At 48.5% G+C, this 12163-nt stretch overlaps 1 protein-coding gene across 3 annotated transcripts in view, besides 9 other annotated features; it reads left to right on the plus strand.

The window, feature by feature from the left end:
* Positions 1–12163, plus strand: part of DPYSL2 (dihydropyrimidinase like 2) — a 144145-nt gene that overhangs the window by 58053 nt on the left and 73929 nt on the right. The window contains exons 1-3 of one of the 3 annotated variants that reach the window (NM_001386.6): positions 5862–6210; positions 9886–9974; positions 11716–11900. In NM_001386.6, the coding sequence (NP_001377.1) occupies positions 6172–6210; positions 9886–9974; positions 11716–11900 (313 nt within the window). In that variant the 5' untranslated portion in view covers positions 5862–6171. Of the gene's footprint in view, positions 1–5861; positions 6211–6321; positions 6451–9885; positions 9975–11715; positions 11901–12163 lie in introns of those variants that run through there. The other 2 variants (NM_001244604.2, NM_001197293.3) reach the window with 2 other exon arrangements.
* Positions 4034–4203: an enhancer, noted in NCBI's record as "active region_27129". NCBI's record gives its function as "activates an Ori minimal core promoter by ATAC-STARR-seq in GM12878 lymphoblastoid cells {active_cell/tissue: GM12878}" and the evidence as "EXISTENCE:reporter gene assay evidence [ECO:0000049][PMID:35858748]".
* Positions 4302–4999: an enhancer, noted in NCBI's record as "H3K27ac-H3K4me1 hESC enhancer chr8:26433901-26434598 (GRCh37/hg19 assembly coordinates)". NCBI's record gives its function as "activates a minimal SCP1, AML or CMV promoter by ChIP-STARR-seq in naive and primed H9 embryonic stem cells {active_cell/tissue: H9 hESC(naive and primed)}" and the evidence as "EXISTENCE:reporter gene assay evidence [ECO:0000049][PMID:30033119]".
* Positions 4302–5003: a biological region, named in NCBI's record as "H3K27ac-H3K4me1 hESC enhancer GRCh37_chr8:26433901-26434598".
* Positions 4804–5003: a silencer, noted in NCBI's record as "silent region_19043". NCBI's record gives its function as "represses an Ori minimal core promoter by ATAC-STARR-seq in GM12878 lymphoblastoid cells {active_cell/tissue: GM12878}" and the evidence as "EXISTENCE:reporter gene assay evidence [ECO:0000049][PMID:35858748]".
* Positions 5000–5697: an enhancer, noted in NCBI's record as "H3K27ac-H3K4me1 hESC enhancer chr8:26434599-26435296 (GRCh37/hg19 assembly coordinates)". NCBI's record gives its function as "activates a minimal SCP1, AML or CMV promoter by ChIP-STARR-seq in primed H9 embryonic stem cells {active_cell/tissue: H9 hESC(primed)}" and the evidence as "EXISTENCE:reporter gene assay evidence [ECO:0000049][PMID:30033119]".
* Positions 5000–5743: a biological region, named in NCBI's record as "H3K27ac-H3K4me1 hESC enhancer GRCh37_chr8:26434599-26435296".
* Positions 5044–5743: a silencer, noted in NCBI's record as "silent region_19044". NCBI's record gives its function as "represses an Ori minimal core promoter by ATAC-STARR-seq in GM12878 lymphoblastoid cells {active_cell/tissue: GM12878}" and the evidence as "EXISTENCE:reporter gene assay evidence [ECO:0000049][PMID:35858748]".
* Positions 5999–6893: an enhancer, noted in NCBI's record as "NANOG-H3K27ac-H3K4me1 hESC enhancer chr8:26435598-26436492 (GRCh37/hg19 assembly coordinates)". NCBI's record gives its function as "activates a minimal SCP1, AML or CMV promoter by ChIP-STARR-seq in naive H9 embryonic stem cells {active_cell/tissue: H9 hESC(naive)}" and the evidence as "EXISTENCE:reporter gene assay evidence [ECO:0000049][PMID:30033119]".
* Positions 6894–7788: an enhancer, noted in NCBI's record as "NANOG-H3K27ac-H3K4me1 hESC enhancer chr8:26436493-26437387 (GRCh37/hg19 assembly coordinates)". NCBI's record gives its function as "activates a minimal SCP1, AML or CMV promoter by ChIP-STARR-seq in naive H9 embryonic stem cells {active_cell/tissue: H9 hESC(naive)}" and the evidence as "EXISTENCE:reporter gene assay evidence [ECO:0000049][PMID:30033119]".

Raw genomic sequence — 12163 nt, forward strand, 5'->3', positions numbered from 1 at the left:
GCATTGGGGATTTTCTTTGCCACCTCTGGGCTCTGTTTTGTCAGCAGTTTCTGCTCTGGAGTTCCCCTACTCTGTGAAATTCTGAACATTGCACTAACGCAGAGACCCAGGGCGCCACAGAAGCAGAAATGGCTACTCTAGCTCCCCAAAGGGGAACATGAAACCAAGAGCAGCAGTGGGCTAGTCAGGGAGGGAACACGTTCCGGGCAGATGCTGAGGAACTGAGAGCAGCACAGCCGCCCGAGGCACTGGAGTTATGTCTGCATCTCCCCAGCCCCACTTCCCTGCAGTTTGGATGATGCAAACATGTGCAAAGGGCTGGCTGGGTGCCTCCACTCATACCTCCCTCCCTGCATTCAGTCCTGCTTGAGCCCCCAGCCTTGTCAGGCCCTCTGTAAGGATAAGGAATGAGTAAGACTTTTTTGTTTGTTTTTGAGAAGGAATCTCGCCCTTTCACCCAAGCTGGAGTGCAGTGACGCAATCTCGGCTCACTGCAACCTCCGTTTCCCAGGTTCAAGTGATTTTCCAGCCTCAGCCTCCTGAGTAGCTGGGATTACAGGCGTCCCCTACCACGCCCAGCTAGTTTTTGTATTTTTAGTAGAGATGGGGTTTCTCCATGTTGGCCAGGATGGTCTCGAACTCCTGATCTCAGGTGATCCGCCCACTTCAGCCTCCCAGGTGTTGGGATTACAGGCATGAGCTACTGCGCCTGGTCAGGAATGAGTAAGACTTTTGAAAGAGTTTTTCTTCCCTGTGAGCTCAAACCTTGAATGGAAGAAAAATCACACTCACCTAGTTATGGTGTCGGTGAGGATTGTATTGTGTAGGTGGTTTACTGCGATGAATGGGATCACACAGGGATGTACGAAGAATAATGGGAGGATGGAGTAAAGGACAGTTTCAGAAATTGAGAAAAAATTACTAGAGACACCTTGTATGACTTCGACCTTCATTTTAGGATTGGGTGCTGTCTCCGTGTTCTACCAGGCTTGCTGATACACAGCAGTTTTGTTAGTGGAGGCGGAGCTTAAAATCTAGGCAGCTACAGCCCCGCAGAGAATAATAAGCTGTTAATAATAACATTAGGTCTTCCTGGAGTTTCAGGGGCTTGGAGAAGGGGAGGCTGCCAAGAAGGAAGGCCCGGCAAAGTGATATTCCTGACTGGGTGTGGTGGCTCACGCCTGTAATCCCAGAACTTTGGGAGGCCGAGGCAGGCAGATCCTGAGGTCAGGAGTTTGAGACCAGCCTGGCCAATATGGTGAAACCCCCATCTCTACTAATAATACAAAAAGTACCTGGGCGTGGCCGGGCGCGGTGGCTCACGCCTGTAATCCCAGCACTTTGGGGGGCTGAGGTGGGTGGATCACGAGGTCAGGAGATCGAGACCATCCTGGCAAACACGGTGAAACCCTGTCTCTACTAAAAAATACAAAAAATTAGCTGGGCGTGGTGGTAGGCACCTGTAGTCCCAGCTACTCAGAGGCTGAGGCAGGAGAATGGCATGAACCCAGAAGGCGGAGCTTGCAGTGAGCCGAGATTGCGCCACTGCACTACAGCCTGGGGCAACAGAGCAAGACTGTCTCAAAAAAAAAAAAAAAAAAAAATTACCTGGGCGTGGTGGTGGGCACCTGTAATCCCAGCTACTCGGGAGGCTGAGGCAGGAGAATCACTTGAACCTGGGAGGCAGAGGTTGCAGTGAGCAAAGATCATGCAACTGCACTCCAGCCTGGGCGACAGAGTGAGACTCCACCTCAAAAAAAAAAAAAAAAAAAAAGTGATAGTCCTAAGGGAAAGGCTTGCTTGCATTGGGGATTTTTTTTTTTTTTTGACATTAAAACTCACCTTGGTGGAAGAACCTTTGTCCTCGTCATAGCAATGATGGCACTTATTTATGCACAAAATGTTAAGGGCACCTGCCAGAGACAAGGCAGTGTGCTGGTAGCTGGGAGAAGAGGGGGCTTTTTGCTTCTAGGAGTCAAGGCCTGATGGAAGAAATGTGCAAGTCATTATAGAGTGATGGTGTTATAGCAGAGCTGAACACAGGAAGGAGTGCTTAAGGCTGTGGGGGTAGGATGGGGAAAACTTCATAGACATGGTAACATTTCAGTTGTTTCAGAGGGAAGGAGGGGAAAAGAACGGCTTAGGGCAAGATGTAGATTAGGGAGGGCACACTGTTTTCAGGGGCAGTGAGAAGTTTGCTCTGACACTGTGTGCGTGCACCCATTGAGCATGGGGACAGAGTAGGTGTCCAGGGAGGGGAGTTGAAGCTGCGGAAAAGACAGGGATCAGACTCTGATACAGCACCTGGTTAAAATGCATTCTTCCCACTCATGGATCTGCTCAGGCAGATCCTCCCTTCCTGCACACCATGCAGAATGCCCGGGATGTTACCATTTCACTAAACCATTGTCTAATTTAGTTACTGCATCTGGCTCTTTTATGGTGCTGGGAGAAAAGTATGGGAAAGTGGAGGTTTGGGAAGGGGCTGTGATTGCGGAACAGGCAATTTTACATTGCTTTCTCATGTTTGGCATGAATTTAATGTTTAAAAATTCAGAAAAGTCATGCCTGACAAAGGGTACGAATATTAGATTCACAAATAATAATTCATAATTTTACAGGAAATTTTCATTGAGTGTTTTTCTACAGAAAGTATAAGAAACATTTATTTATTTATTTAGACAAGGTCTCACTCTGTCACCCAAGCTGGAGTGCAGTGGCACGATCATGGCTTATTACAGCCTCAGCCTCCCAGCCTCAACTGATCTTTCTGCCTCAGCCCCAACCTTCCCCTGCCCCCAGTAGCTGGGACCACAGGTGCCCACCACCACACTCAGCTAATTTATTTTGTTTGTTTTTGTTTTTTTGAGATGGAGTTTCGCTCTTGTTGCCCAGGCTGAAGTGCAGTGGCGCTATCTTGGCTCACTGCAACCTCCGCCTCCCGGATTCAAGTGATTCTCCTGCCTCAGCCTCCCGAATGGCTGGGATTACCGGCCCCAGCCACCATGCCCGTCTGATTTTTGCATTTTTAGTGCAGACGGGGTTTCACCATGTTGGCCAGCCTAGTCTCTAATATTTGTATTTTTTGTAGAGACGGGGTTTCTCCATGTTGCTGAGGCTGGTCTCCAACTCTTGGGCTCAACTGATCTGCCTGCCTTGGCATCCCAAAGTGCGGGATTACAGGTGTGAGCCACTGTGCCCAGCCTCTCATTTATTTTTACAAGGATCTCTGAAGTAAAAGTGTGAGGCCTGTTTACCTGTGGTTTTTTGTTTTTTTTTTCACCTTCATCAGTGCAAAGCAGGTGGAAGATTCTCCTCGGCCCTTTTTTACTTTTCCTCATTGCGCTGAATGGTAAATATGGTAAGAAATGCAGGTTGCAGACAGTTCTCTTCCTCGGTCAATTTAAACCATTTGTTTGGTATCTTTTATGTGCCAAATACTCTCTTAGGCTCTAGTCAGAACAGACAAATCAGTTTATACCTTACATTTTTGGATATTTACGAGTGGAAACGTCAGTTATTATGGACTAAGAACCTCATAGCAATGGCTATACAATTGAAGCCAATGAGACAGACACAAGCTCTTGGAAGCTTTTATTACAAAACAAACGATTCTATGGTAAACTGGTAAATAACAAGATATATTTAAACCCATTACGCTCAAACAACAGGGACGGGGGTAGGGAATACAACAAGAATACAAACAATATAATTATAGGTTACTTTGTTTTAAATTAATTTGAGTCTCTTTATTTACTCCCTTGCCAAGTAGTTTTTTTGTGAGCTAATAGGACACTCCTCTCCACTGCCCTGTCCTCCGCAAAGCTGGGACTGACTGTTGGTTTTTCACAAGTAGAGAGAGGCCAAGTAGAAAGGCGTATTTTAAGCTTTCTCAGACTCGTGACTTTAACCATTACCGGTTGACAGCAATACTTGCCGACATCATCTCACCTTGCTTGCGGCATATCAGATTGCTGGAGGGGGAAGTGCTTCACTTTCTCTTTCAGATGCACAGCTAAATTGAACTTGGATGAATTAACCATCGGTGAAACTTTGTGCGTGCCCTACGGCTACTTTCTGGGACTTCAGATTTTTAGAGATATAGGAGTGAAAAGGAGAATTTTACACCTTCTCTGAGTCTGGAAGGACAGACATTCCCCTAAAGTGGCTAAGGTGGTGAAGGGCAGAAAGATTGGAAGTCAGGCCCACAGCAGCTCGAATTATTCCGTATTTATCTAGCTAAGCTTTGCTGAGCAGGTGTGAGCCAATTACATACTCTTTCTTCCCCCACCCCCCAGCCCATGATTACGTAGGGATTCTATGTATCCTTCGACCTCAAGCAGAGAAGCCCGAGCGCTACGAGGGCTGGTCCAGATGTTTTAGTTATTGTACCTGCCAGGGCAACCTCCCACGGGGGTTGGCCTCGGTAGATTCCTGAGGATCAACTGGATCAGCGTTTTTCTTTCCCACGGACCCTGAAGTTAGAGCATCCCAGCATGGCTTGGACAGGCAAAGCTAAGGGGTCCCAGGCCTGCTCAATTGCTAGGACCACGAAGGGGCCTTGAGTGCCGTTTGAAGTGACAAGGCTCTGCCTGGGCAGTCAGGACACTCTTGATTTTAACTCCGATTCAGTAGGTTTTCCCCAAGACTCAGTTTCCCTTTCCTGTGGGATATAAACTCTTCCTTTCTTGCTCCTCCACAGCTCATCTCCTCCTCTCCGCCCCACGGTGCGGTGTGGGTCCCATCCACTGGCACTGTAAACCCTCAGGACCCCGGGGCGCTGGGATCGCAGCAGCTGCCCCCGACAGCGCTGCAGGCACCAGCGAAATGCGCTGCGCCCCCACGCACCCCTCAGGGAGCCGAGGTGGGCGTGACTGTAAAGCGGGCGCACAGAGCGCAGATCGCGCCACATCGGCCTCGGCGGGCTGCGGCTGCTCCCCATTCCTCCGCCCTACTAAGTTCCTCGCGGCCGGAAGGCACAAAAGGATGTTTCAGGGCGGGGTTTCCCATACCCCGCAGCCTTCCCCGGATGCCTCCTTCCCGGCTCGGAGTTGGAAGGGTTTCCTCAGGGCTCTCATTTCCTGCAGCCCGGCGCCTCCACGCGGGCCAGATCCCGTCTCTGCAGCCTCCCCCCGGCCCGCGCCCATTCCCCGCCCCCAGGAGCCGGGCCCGGACGCTCCCGGGAAGCAGCCGCCCTCTCCGGGGCCGGGCGTGGCCGGGCCCTCCCCGCCGGGTTCCCGCCCGCCGCCGTTCCAGTCCTCAGCCGCGCCAGGGCGGGGGCCAGGCGAGTTCAGCGCCAGCAACGGCGGGGGAGGAGGGCCCGGGAGCCCTCCCGGGCTGCGCGGCGCCGGCCGGCGGTGCAGTCGCGCGCTCGCCGCCAGCGAAGCCATTGGCTCGGCGCAGTCACCCCACGCGGGGCTGCCGCGGCGGCCTCCGCGGATTGGCGCGCAGGCGGGCAGGGACCGGGGCGCGCGCAGGCGAGTGCGTGCGGCCCCGAAGCCCCGCCGTCTCGGGGTGCCGCCCCTCCCCCCGGCCGCGACGACCACCCCTCCATTGTCCCCGCGTGGCCCAGGCCGCGCCTGGGGCCGCCGCCAAACCCGGTCCCCACCGCCCCGGCCCGAAGAAAGCGCGCGAAAGGCGCGCTCCCAGCGCGGGCGCTCGCGCCGCCTGCCGCCCCCGGCCGTTCACTGCCGCATTTCGCGCTCTCGCGCCGCGCCCCGCCCCACCGGCCTAAATTTGCATATCCCAGGATCGCGGCCAATCGCTGCTCGTCTCTCTCGAAGCGGATGGCTTTTGCCTGAGAGGAAAGGGAGTGGCTGGCGGCGCATGCGCCACGGTGGCCGACTTGAACCGAGGCTTTTATTGCTGTAGTTTATTTCCACCCCCTTCCCTCCTGTTTCTCTCTCTCCTTCTCTCTCTCTCTCTCTCTCTCTCTTTTTTTTCCGCCCTAGCTGGGGCTGTGTTGGAGGAGAGGAAGAAAGAGAGACAGAGGATTGCATTCATCCGTTACGTTCTTGAAATTTCCTAATAGCAAGACCAGCGAAGCGGTTGCACCCTTTTCAATCTTGCAAAGGAAAAAAACAAAACAAAACAAAAAAAACCCAAGTCCCCTTCCCGGCAGTTTTTGCCTTAAAGCTGCCCTCTTGAAATTAATTTTTTCCCAGGAGAGAGATGTCTTATCAGGGGAAGAAAAATATTCCACGCATCACGGTGAGTTTGGTACTTGGGAAATCTGCGGTCGGCCAGCCACCTTTTGTAGCACAGAAGGTCTAAGGAATTTTTAAAAAGGAGGGGAAAGGAGAGGGACCGAACTTTTTTTTTCCTTTCTGTTGCTAACGGAGGCGATGGTGATGGTGGTGGTGGTTGTGGGAGATGCAGTGATCCAGGATTAGAAGTCGCATCGTTTGCAAGGCATTAAACAGGAGCGCGAGTGCACGAAGGTAGCCTTAGGTAACGCGCCAGACCCGGTCTATCTTTTATTGTCAGTGAGAGATGCTGCAGCGTCGGCCCGCGGGGTGCAAGCAAATGGATGCCAGATTGAATATGCATGCCTGGAGCTCGGATATTGTTCTCTGGGCTGCGTGCTGCGAGGCTGGACTCCTCCAGCAGCGATGGGGAGATGGGGACTTGGATCCTCCCCGGGTCTTCCGCCCCCACCCAAAAAGGGCTTTCTGGAGCCTTCTCCGGGTCCTTGGAAAAAGGAGCGGGTTTGAGCCCTAAGGCGTAATGACAGCAGAGGGATGCTGAAAAGGGCAGGGTGTACCGGAATGGTGTGGAAACGGGAAGGAAAAACAGGGACGAGGTGATGAGCAGAGGAGGAAGGCGGGGGGCAAGGCGGGGGCTTCTTGTTGGCCAGGAACCGGTTTTGGGTGCCCCCCCCCCGGTTTTCTCGCCCTGTAGTTCGGGGCTGGGGCCCTGGCGGGGATTCGGGCTCTTTTTCACGTCTCTTTTCCGCCCCTTCTGCCGCTCAGGAGGCGTCCGTGTTGGTGCATACAAAGCGGACTGCAGGGTGGGCGCGGGGACCGCGGCGAGCGGCCGGGCGCTAATGGCGCTGCGCGACGCGGGAGCAGATGGCCCGGCCCCGGCCAGACAATGATCGCGGCGGCCGGAGGGCTCGGCGCAGTGCTGGGGCCTGGACTTGTTGGTTTGCAAACCACGGGGAAAACGTCTGTGCCGTGAATTAGCGATGCCTCAGAGATCAGCACCAGTCTTGCTCCCACCTCTCCCCTGCTCCCTCCCTCTCCCCATCTTTTCCTGGAAAAATTCGTTCGTCCTATTCTTTCCATCCCCAGTGAAATCCCAGGGAGGGGGGAACACCAGGGAAATTCATTGTTATATAAGGATGTGCAATTGCAACCGGCCAGCTGATTCCCGGGTAGAACCTAGGACTGAGGCAGAGATCGAAAGAGCCTTTTAAAGCAGTCAGGATGTGTTTTTAGGGCTGGATATAAGGACGCTCTTTGGTTCTGGTTTTCCCTTTAGCCATGGGCACCCCGGCTTCCTCTCCGTGCACAAGGGCACACCCATCCGCGGGAGAGAGAAGGGGAGCAAATGCATAGGGGAGGGGGCGTGTGCTCGGAGGATTTTCTAGGATGATCTGAAGAAGGGCGCTAGCTTCTTCTTGAAGGCAAAAGACCCAAGATCCCAAAGGGCCGGGCACGGGGCACCCACCCTTGTGTGTTCACTGTGCAGGAGGAAGGAGTGGTGACTCTGGGGAGGGAGGATGGAAAGCAGATTTGCAGCAAGCCTCAAATAATTTGCTGTCTTCGTGAATGAACAAGGCAGCTTCATTTTGACAGTGTGGGGAGAAAAAAAAATTAAAAGCAAACGATCAACAAGACTTTTTTTTTTTTTTTTTTTTTTAAAGAGCGCCCCCCCCCCCACACCCTTTAAAAAATCTGGTTGCATTATCATAGGACCTATAGCATGGTATTCCTCCCTCCCTCACCACTGGCAGCCTCTTATGTAAGAGCCTTCTGGAAGGCACTAGAGTGAACGGGGGTGTGGTGTTTCACTTTTTTTCATGGCATCATGTTGGCTCGGGATATTCGCGGTGATGGCTGGGGCAGGTACCACAGTGACTGTGGAGGCAGGAGGTGAAGGGGGAGGCCTCTCCTTGCCTTCCAGGTGATATTTATTCCATGGAAGCTTAGAGATCTGGGAGAGAAGTGGAGGTCATTGTAGACAGAGGACAAGTGCACTGATTTGAGTGACCTGGGCAAGTGGCCTAACCTCTCTGAGCCTCAGTTTCCTTATGTGTCATGGGAATAGAACCTGGCCTCATCTACCTCACAGATTTCTTTCGAGGCTCTGATGTCATGATGTGCACGGCTTTGTAAAGGTCTTTACACTTACCTTATACAGGTGCAGGAATTATTGTTGGCTATTCTCCTTTGACTTTCCAAAGTCTACGTGAGGATCAGGGACCCTGCAGTGTACAAAATTAAAATGATCTTATTGGTTTTCAGTATGTTAGAGAGACAATAAATACTTTCTGAACCAAGGTGTGTGTATTTATGTGTAAAATTATCTTTTTTCCTTGCTCTCTAGTAGCTTATCTCTTTTTTAAAGATTTTCTATGATTTCCTTTTCTTGGTAGCTGCTAAAGAGAGGTAGCACTTGCTGAGAATATTGTTTTGTAACTGAATTTTGAGTTAACTATTGCCAAAAGAATGTCATTCTTTGAAATGTGTTGCATATTAAAAGGGCAATGTATGGTTCAGCTTGCCAGGTTTAAGCCCATTCTGTATAATACAGGTGCATATTTACTGAACACTCGATGCCAGCATTCCTTCCATCAGCAGCATTTGCAATAACGATGAGTCATAATGTAGCATTTCTGTCACATTCTCAGACTTTATCTGCTGCTTGTCCTTTATTTTTTAGCATAAATATCACCGGTTAAAATATAAGTGCATCAGCAATCTGTAGTGCATTGCATCTTAGAATTTGCTATCTCAGATACTTATTCGTGGGAGTTTACCTTTTTCTTAACAGCCTAGTTAAAATGGCATCAATGGCGTATTTTTTGTAGTCTTTTTGCTATACTTGCTGTGATTTACCTCAAAGATAAATGCAAATATAAAGGACATATTGAATGGAAACCTTGCTATGGTTGAACCCAGTGTATTTGTGTGGTATATCCCGTGACAGCAGACTTTTTGGTCAATTGTGCTTGCTTGACACAGTCTTTCCAAGACATGGCTTTCCTATATGTAGGTGGTTTTTTTTGTTGTTGTTTGTTTGTTTTTAAATTGAGGTTTAGCCAAAAGCCATTTTAAAAAGTACTATCTTCTTTTTTTTTTTTTGAGTTGGAGTCTTGCTGTGTAACCCAGGCTGGGGTGCAGTGACGTGATCTCGGTTCACTACAACCTCCGCCTGCTGCTTCAAGCAATTCTCCTGCCTCAGCCTCCCGAGTAGCTGGGATTACAGGCGCCCACCACCATGCCCAGCCCATTTTTTGTATTTTTTATAGAGATGGGGTTTCACCATGTTGGCCAGGCTGGTCTCAAACTCCTGACCTCAGGTGATCCGCCCATCTTGGCCTCCCAAAGTGCTGGGATTACAGGCATGAGCCACCGTGCCCGGCCCTATCTTCTTTATATGAAATAATTTTCACTGCTTTTTTTTTTTCTTTGGAGTCCAAGGTCTAATTGAAAGAGATGGTTCGTTTATCTAGGATAAGCTGTCCCTGTGTGTTCTGACTCATCAGGTGATGAATAGGTTGCCACATACAGGCTTACCTTTGTCACTGAACCTTTCCAAAATGGGCTTATTTTGAACATCACTTTTGAACAGTGAAAATGTATCCTTAGCTCACATATCTTAGCACCTGTTTCTCATAGGTCAGTTACGCGTTGTGACCTTACTGCCTCTTTGTTTCAGAGCGATCGTCTTCTGATCAAAGGAGGTAAAATTGTTAATGATGACCAGTCGTTCTATGCAGACATATACATGGAAGATGGGTTGATCAAGTAAGTGTAACTCATGATATACAGATGTATTTGAACACTTTCCAGACTTCCCAAGTATTAGATACCATTCGCATCCAAAGTATCAAACTTCAGGAACATCAGAGAGTGACCAACTTAGTATCTGTTTTAAACTGGTTTTGATTGGTGGTAATTAGTGAATTTGAAAACTCAAATTTAGGGAATTCAAAGCAACAATTAATGTACACCCGTTGCATTAGGTATTATGTAATTTACTATTTTTAACTGAGGTGATATGATATCTTTCTGTTGCCAGCTCAAATACTTGGTTTGTGATATGTTGAATATATTAAAGTTTTGCCTAGAATGTCATTGTTTGGGTTGGATTGCCCAAAGGACGCAAACGTGAAAGACAGTCTCCTCTATTGAGACAGCACATCTGCTTTCTTCATCAAGAATCCAAGTTGGAGGGGCCAAAGAAAGATACCAAGTTAATTACTAAGTAATACAGACAAATTACTGCCTAAATCCTGAGGGAATTTTAGGTTTTATTCTAAGTGGCAACTAGTGCAAATAAGACTGCCCTTGTGTTTATTGTGTTAATGTTACAAAGGAGAAGCAACAGGGCAGTTCCTGAGTTTGGGTATTTTTGGACGCCAGAGGGTTAAGGAAGCTGAGTTCATCCCAGTATCTGCCTGCCCTTTCTACTGGGGTAGCTCCCGGGGCTCTGGAGAAATAGCACATCTGTTTGAAGACAAACACTGCAGCCAGTGACAGCTTTTAAATAAGCAGCATTCATCAAGGGATAGCTGTAAACCGGTCCAGAGGAGTGGAAAACTGGAGTGGCTGTGACTGTTGCCTGGGAGCTCACACCCAGATTTATGAACCTAAAATAGATTTTAACATTTCCACGTTTAATGTTTTCTCCATGTGTGTTTGCTGTGACAGTCTCAGCTCCAGGCTCTCAAATGCCATGACTTTGATGTTCCATTTTCCCCCAATTATAAGATGGCACGATCTGGTCTGGTAGAATGACACTGGCCCAGAAGTGTGCAGGCCTGTGTGCTGTTTTTACTCATCACTGATTTGTTCTAGAACTTTATCAACTTCTCCTAGATTAATATTCCTTTTAAAAAATTGGTAGAAAGATATAAAAATATTTTTTAAAAGTTGGAAATGAATCATGTCTCCCAACATAATGAATATTCATTTTTCTGCCTTTTAAAATTATATTTCAGCTGTTAGCTTTTTCATTATCTGAATAACTAAACACACGCTTCCAAAATTTTAAATCATTGCAATCATAGTGTTCACTTTTTTTTTTTTTTTGCTTTGATTTGTTCTACCTCACCCTTCCACCCCTATTTTCCTTCTGGTGAAAAGGATATGATAAAAATAAATGTTTGGAAAGTACGGCCAGGTCTGGAGAAAATTGCTATAGGATAATTAGCTCAATTGCAAGTGCTGTAAAGAAAGTTTAATGACAGTTCTTAGAAATATCTTGGGGCCTTGTTATCATTTGATCTTAGGGGGTTTCTTGGGAACAAAACGTCTTTGAGTGGGGCCTCTGGTGCCTTATTTAACTTTTGCTTTCTAGTATACTCTGCATTGCCTCTTGCTGGGGGGTAGGAGTATATAGTGTTTTATTATGAATCGTAACAATGATCTGAAAAGCCCACGGCACAGAGCGGAGGATAGTTTATAGGTTAGTGAAAGTAGCTGTCAGATCCCATTTGAGTCCACATTTCATTTACAACCCTTATCACCAACCCTGTTTATTTAGGCAAATAGGAGAAAATCTGATTGTGCCAGGAGGAGTGAAGACCATCGAGGCCCACTCCCGGATGGTGATCCCCGGAGGAATTGACGTCCACACTCGTTTCCAGATGCCTGATCAGGGAATGACGTCTGCTGATGATTTCTTCCAAGGAACCAAGGCGGCCCTGGCTGGGGGAACCACTATGATCAGTAAGAAGCTTAAAAATCATCATTGTAGTGCTTAGGAAGTGTGAGAGTTTGCAAATAAGTCTATTGTTTGATTCTCTCCTTCTAAAACTTGCTGTCCTGAGCCACAGTTCAATCTACCAAATAAGGGGGTGAGGATGTGTTAACCATTTGTCTTATTTATTTATGCTCATTTTCTGTCAAATTTTAAGTTCTCCCATTGAACTAGAGAATATGGTTCTAAGGAGTTTGGTAAGATGAATGACTTCTTGCTTTCTCTCCATGTG

This window comes from Homo sapiens, chromosome 8 (genome assembly GCF_000001405.40).
Source record: "Homo sapiens chromosome 8, GRCh38.p14 Primary Assembly".
In the NCBI taxonomy this organism is placed as follows: Eukaryota; Metazoa; Chordata; class Mammalia; order Primates; family Hominidae; genus Homo; species Homo sapiens.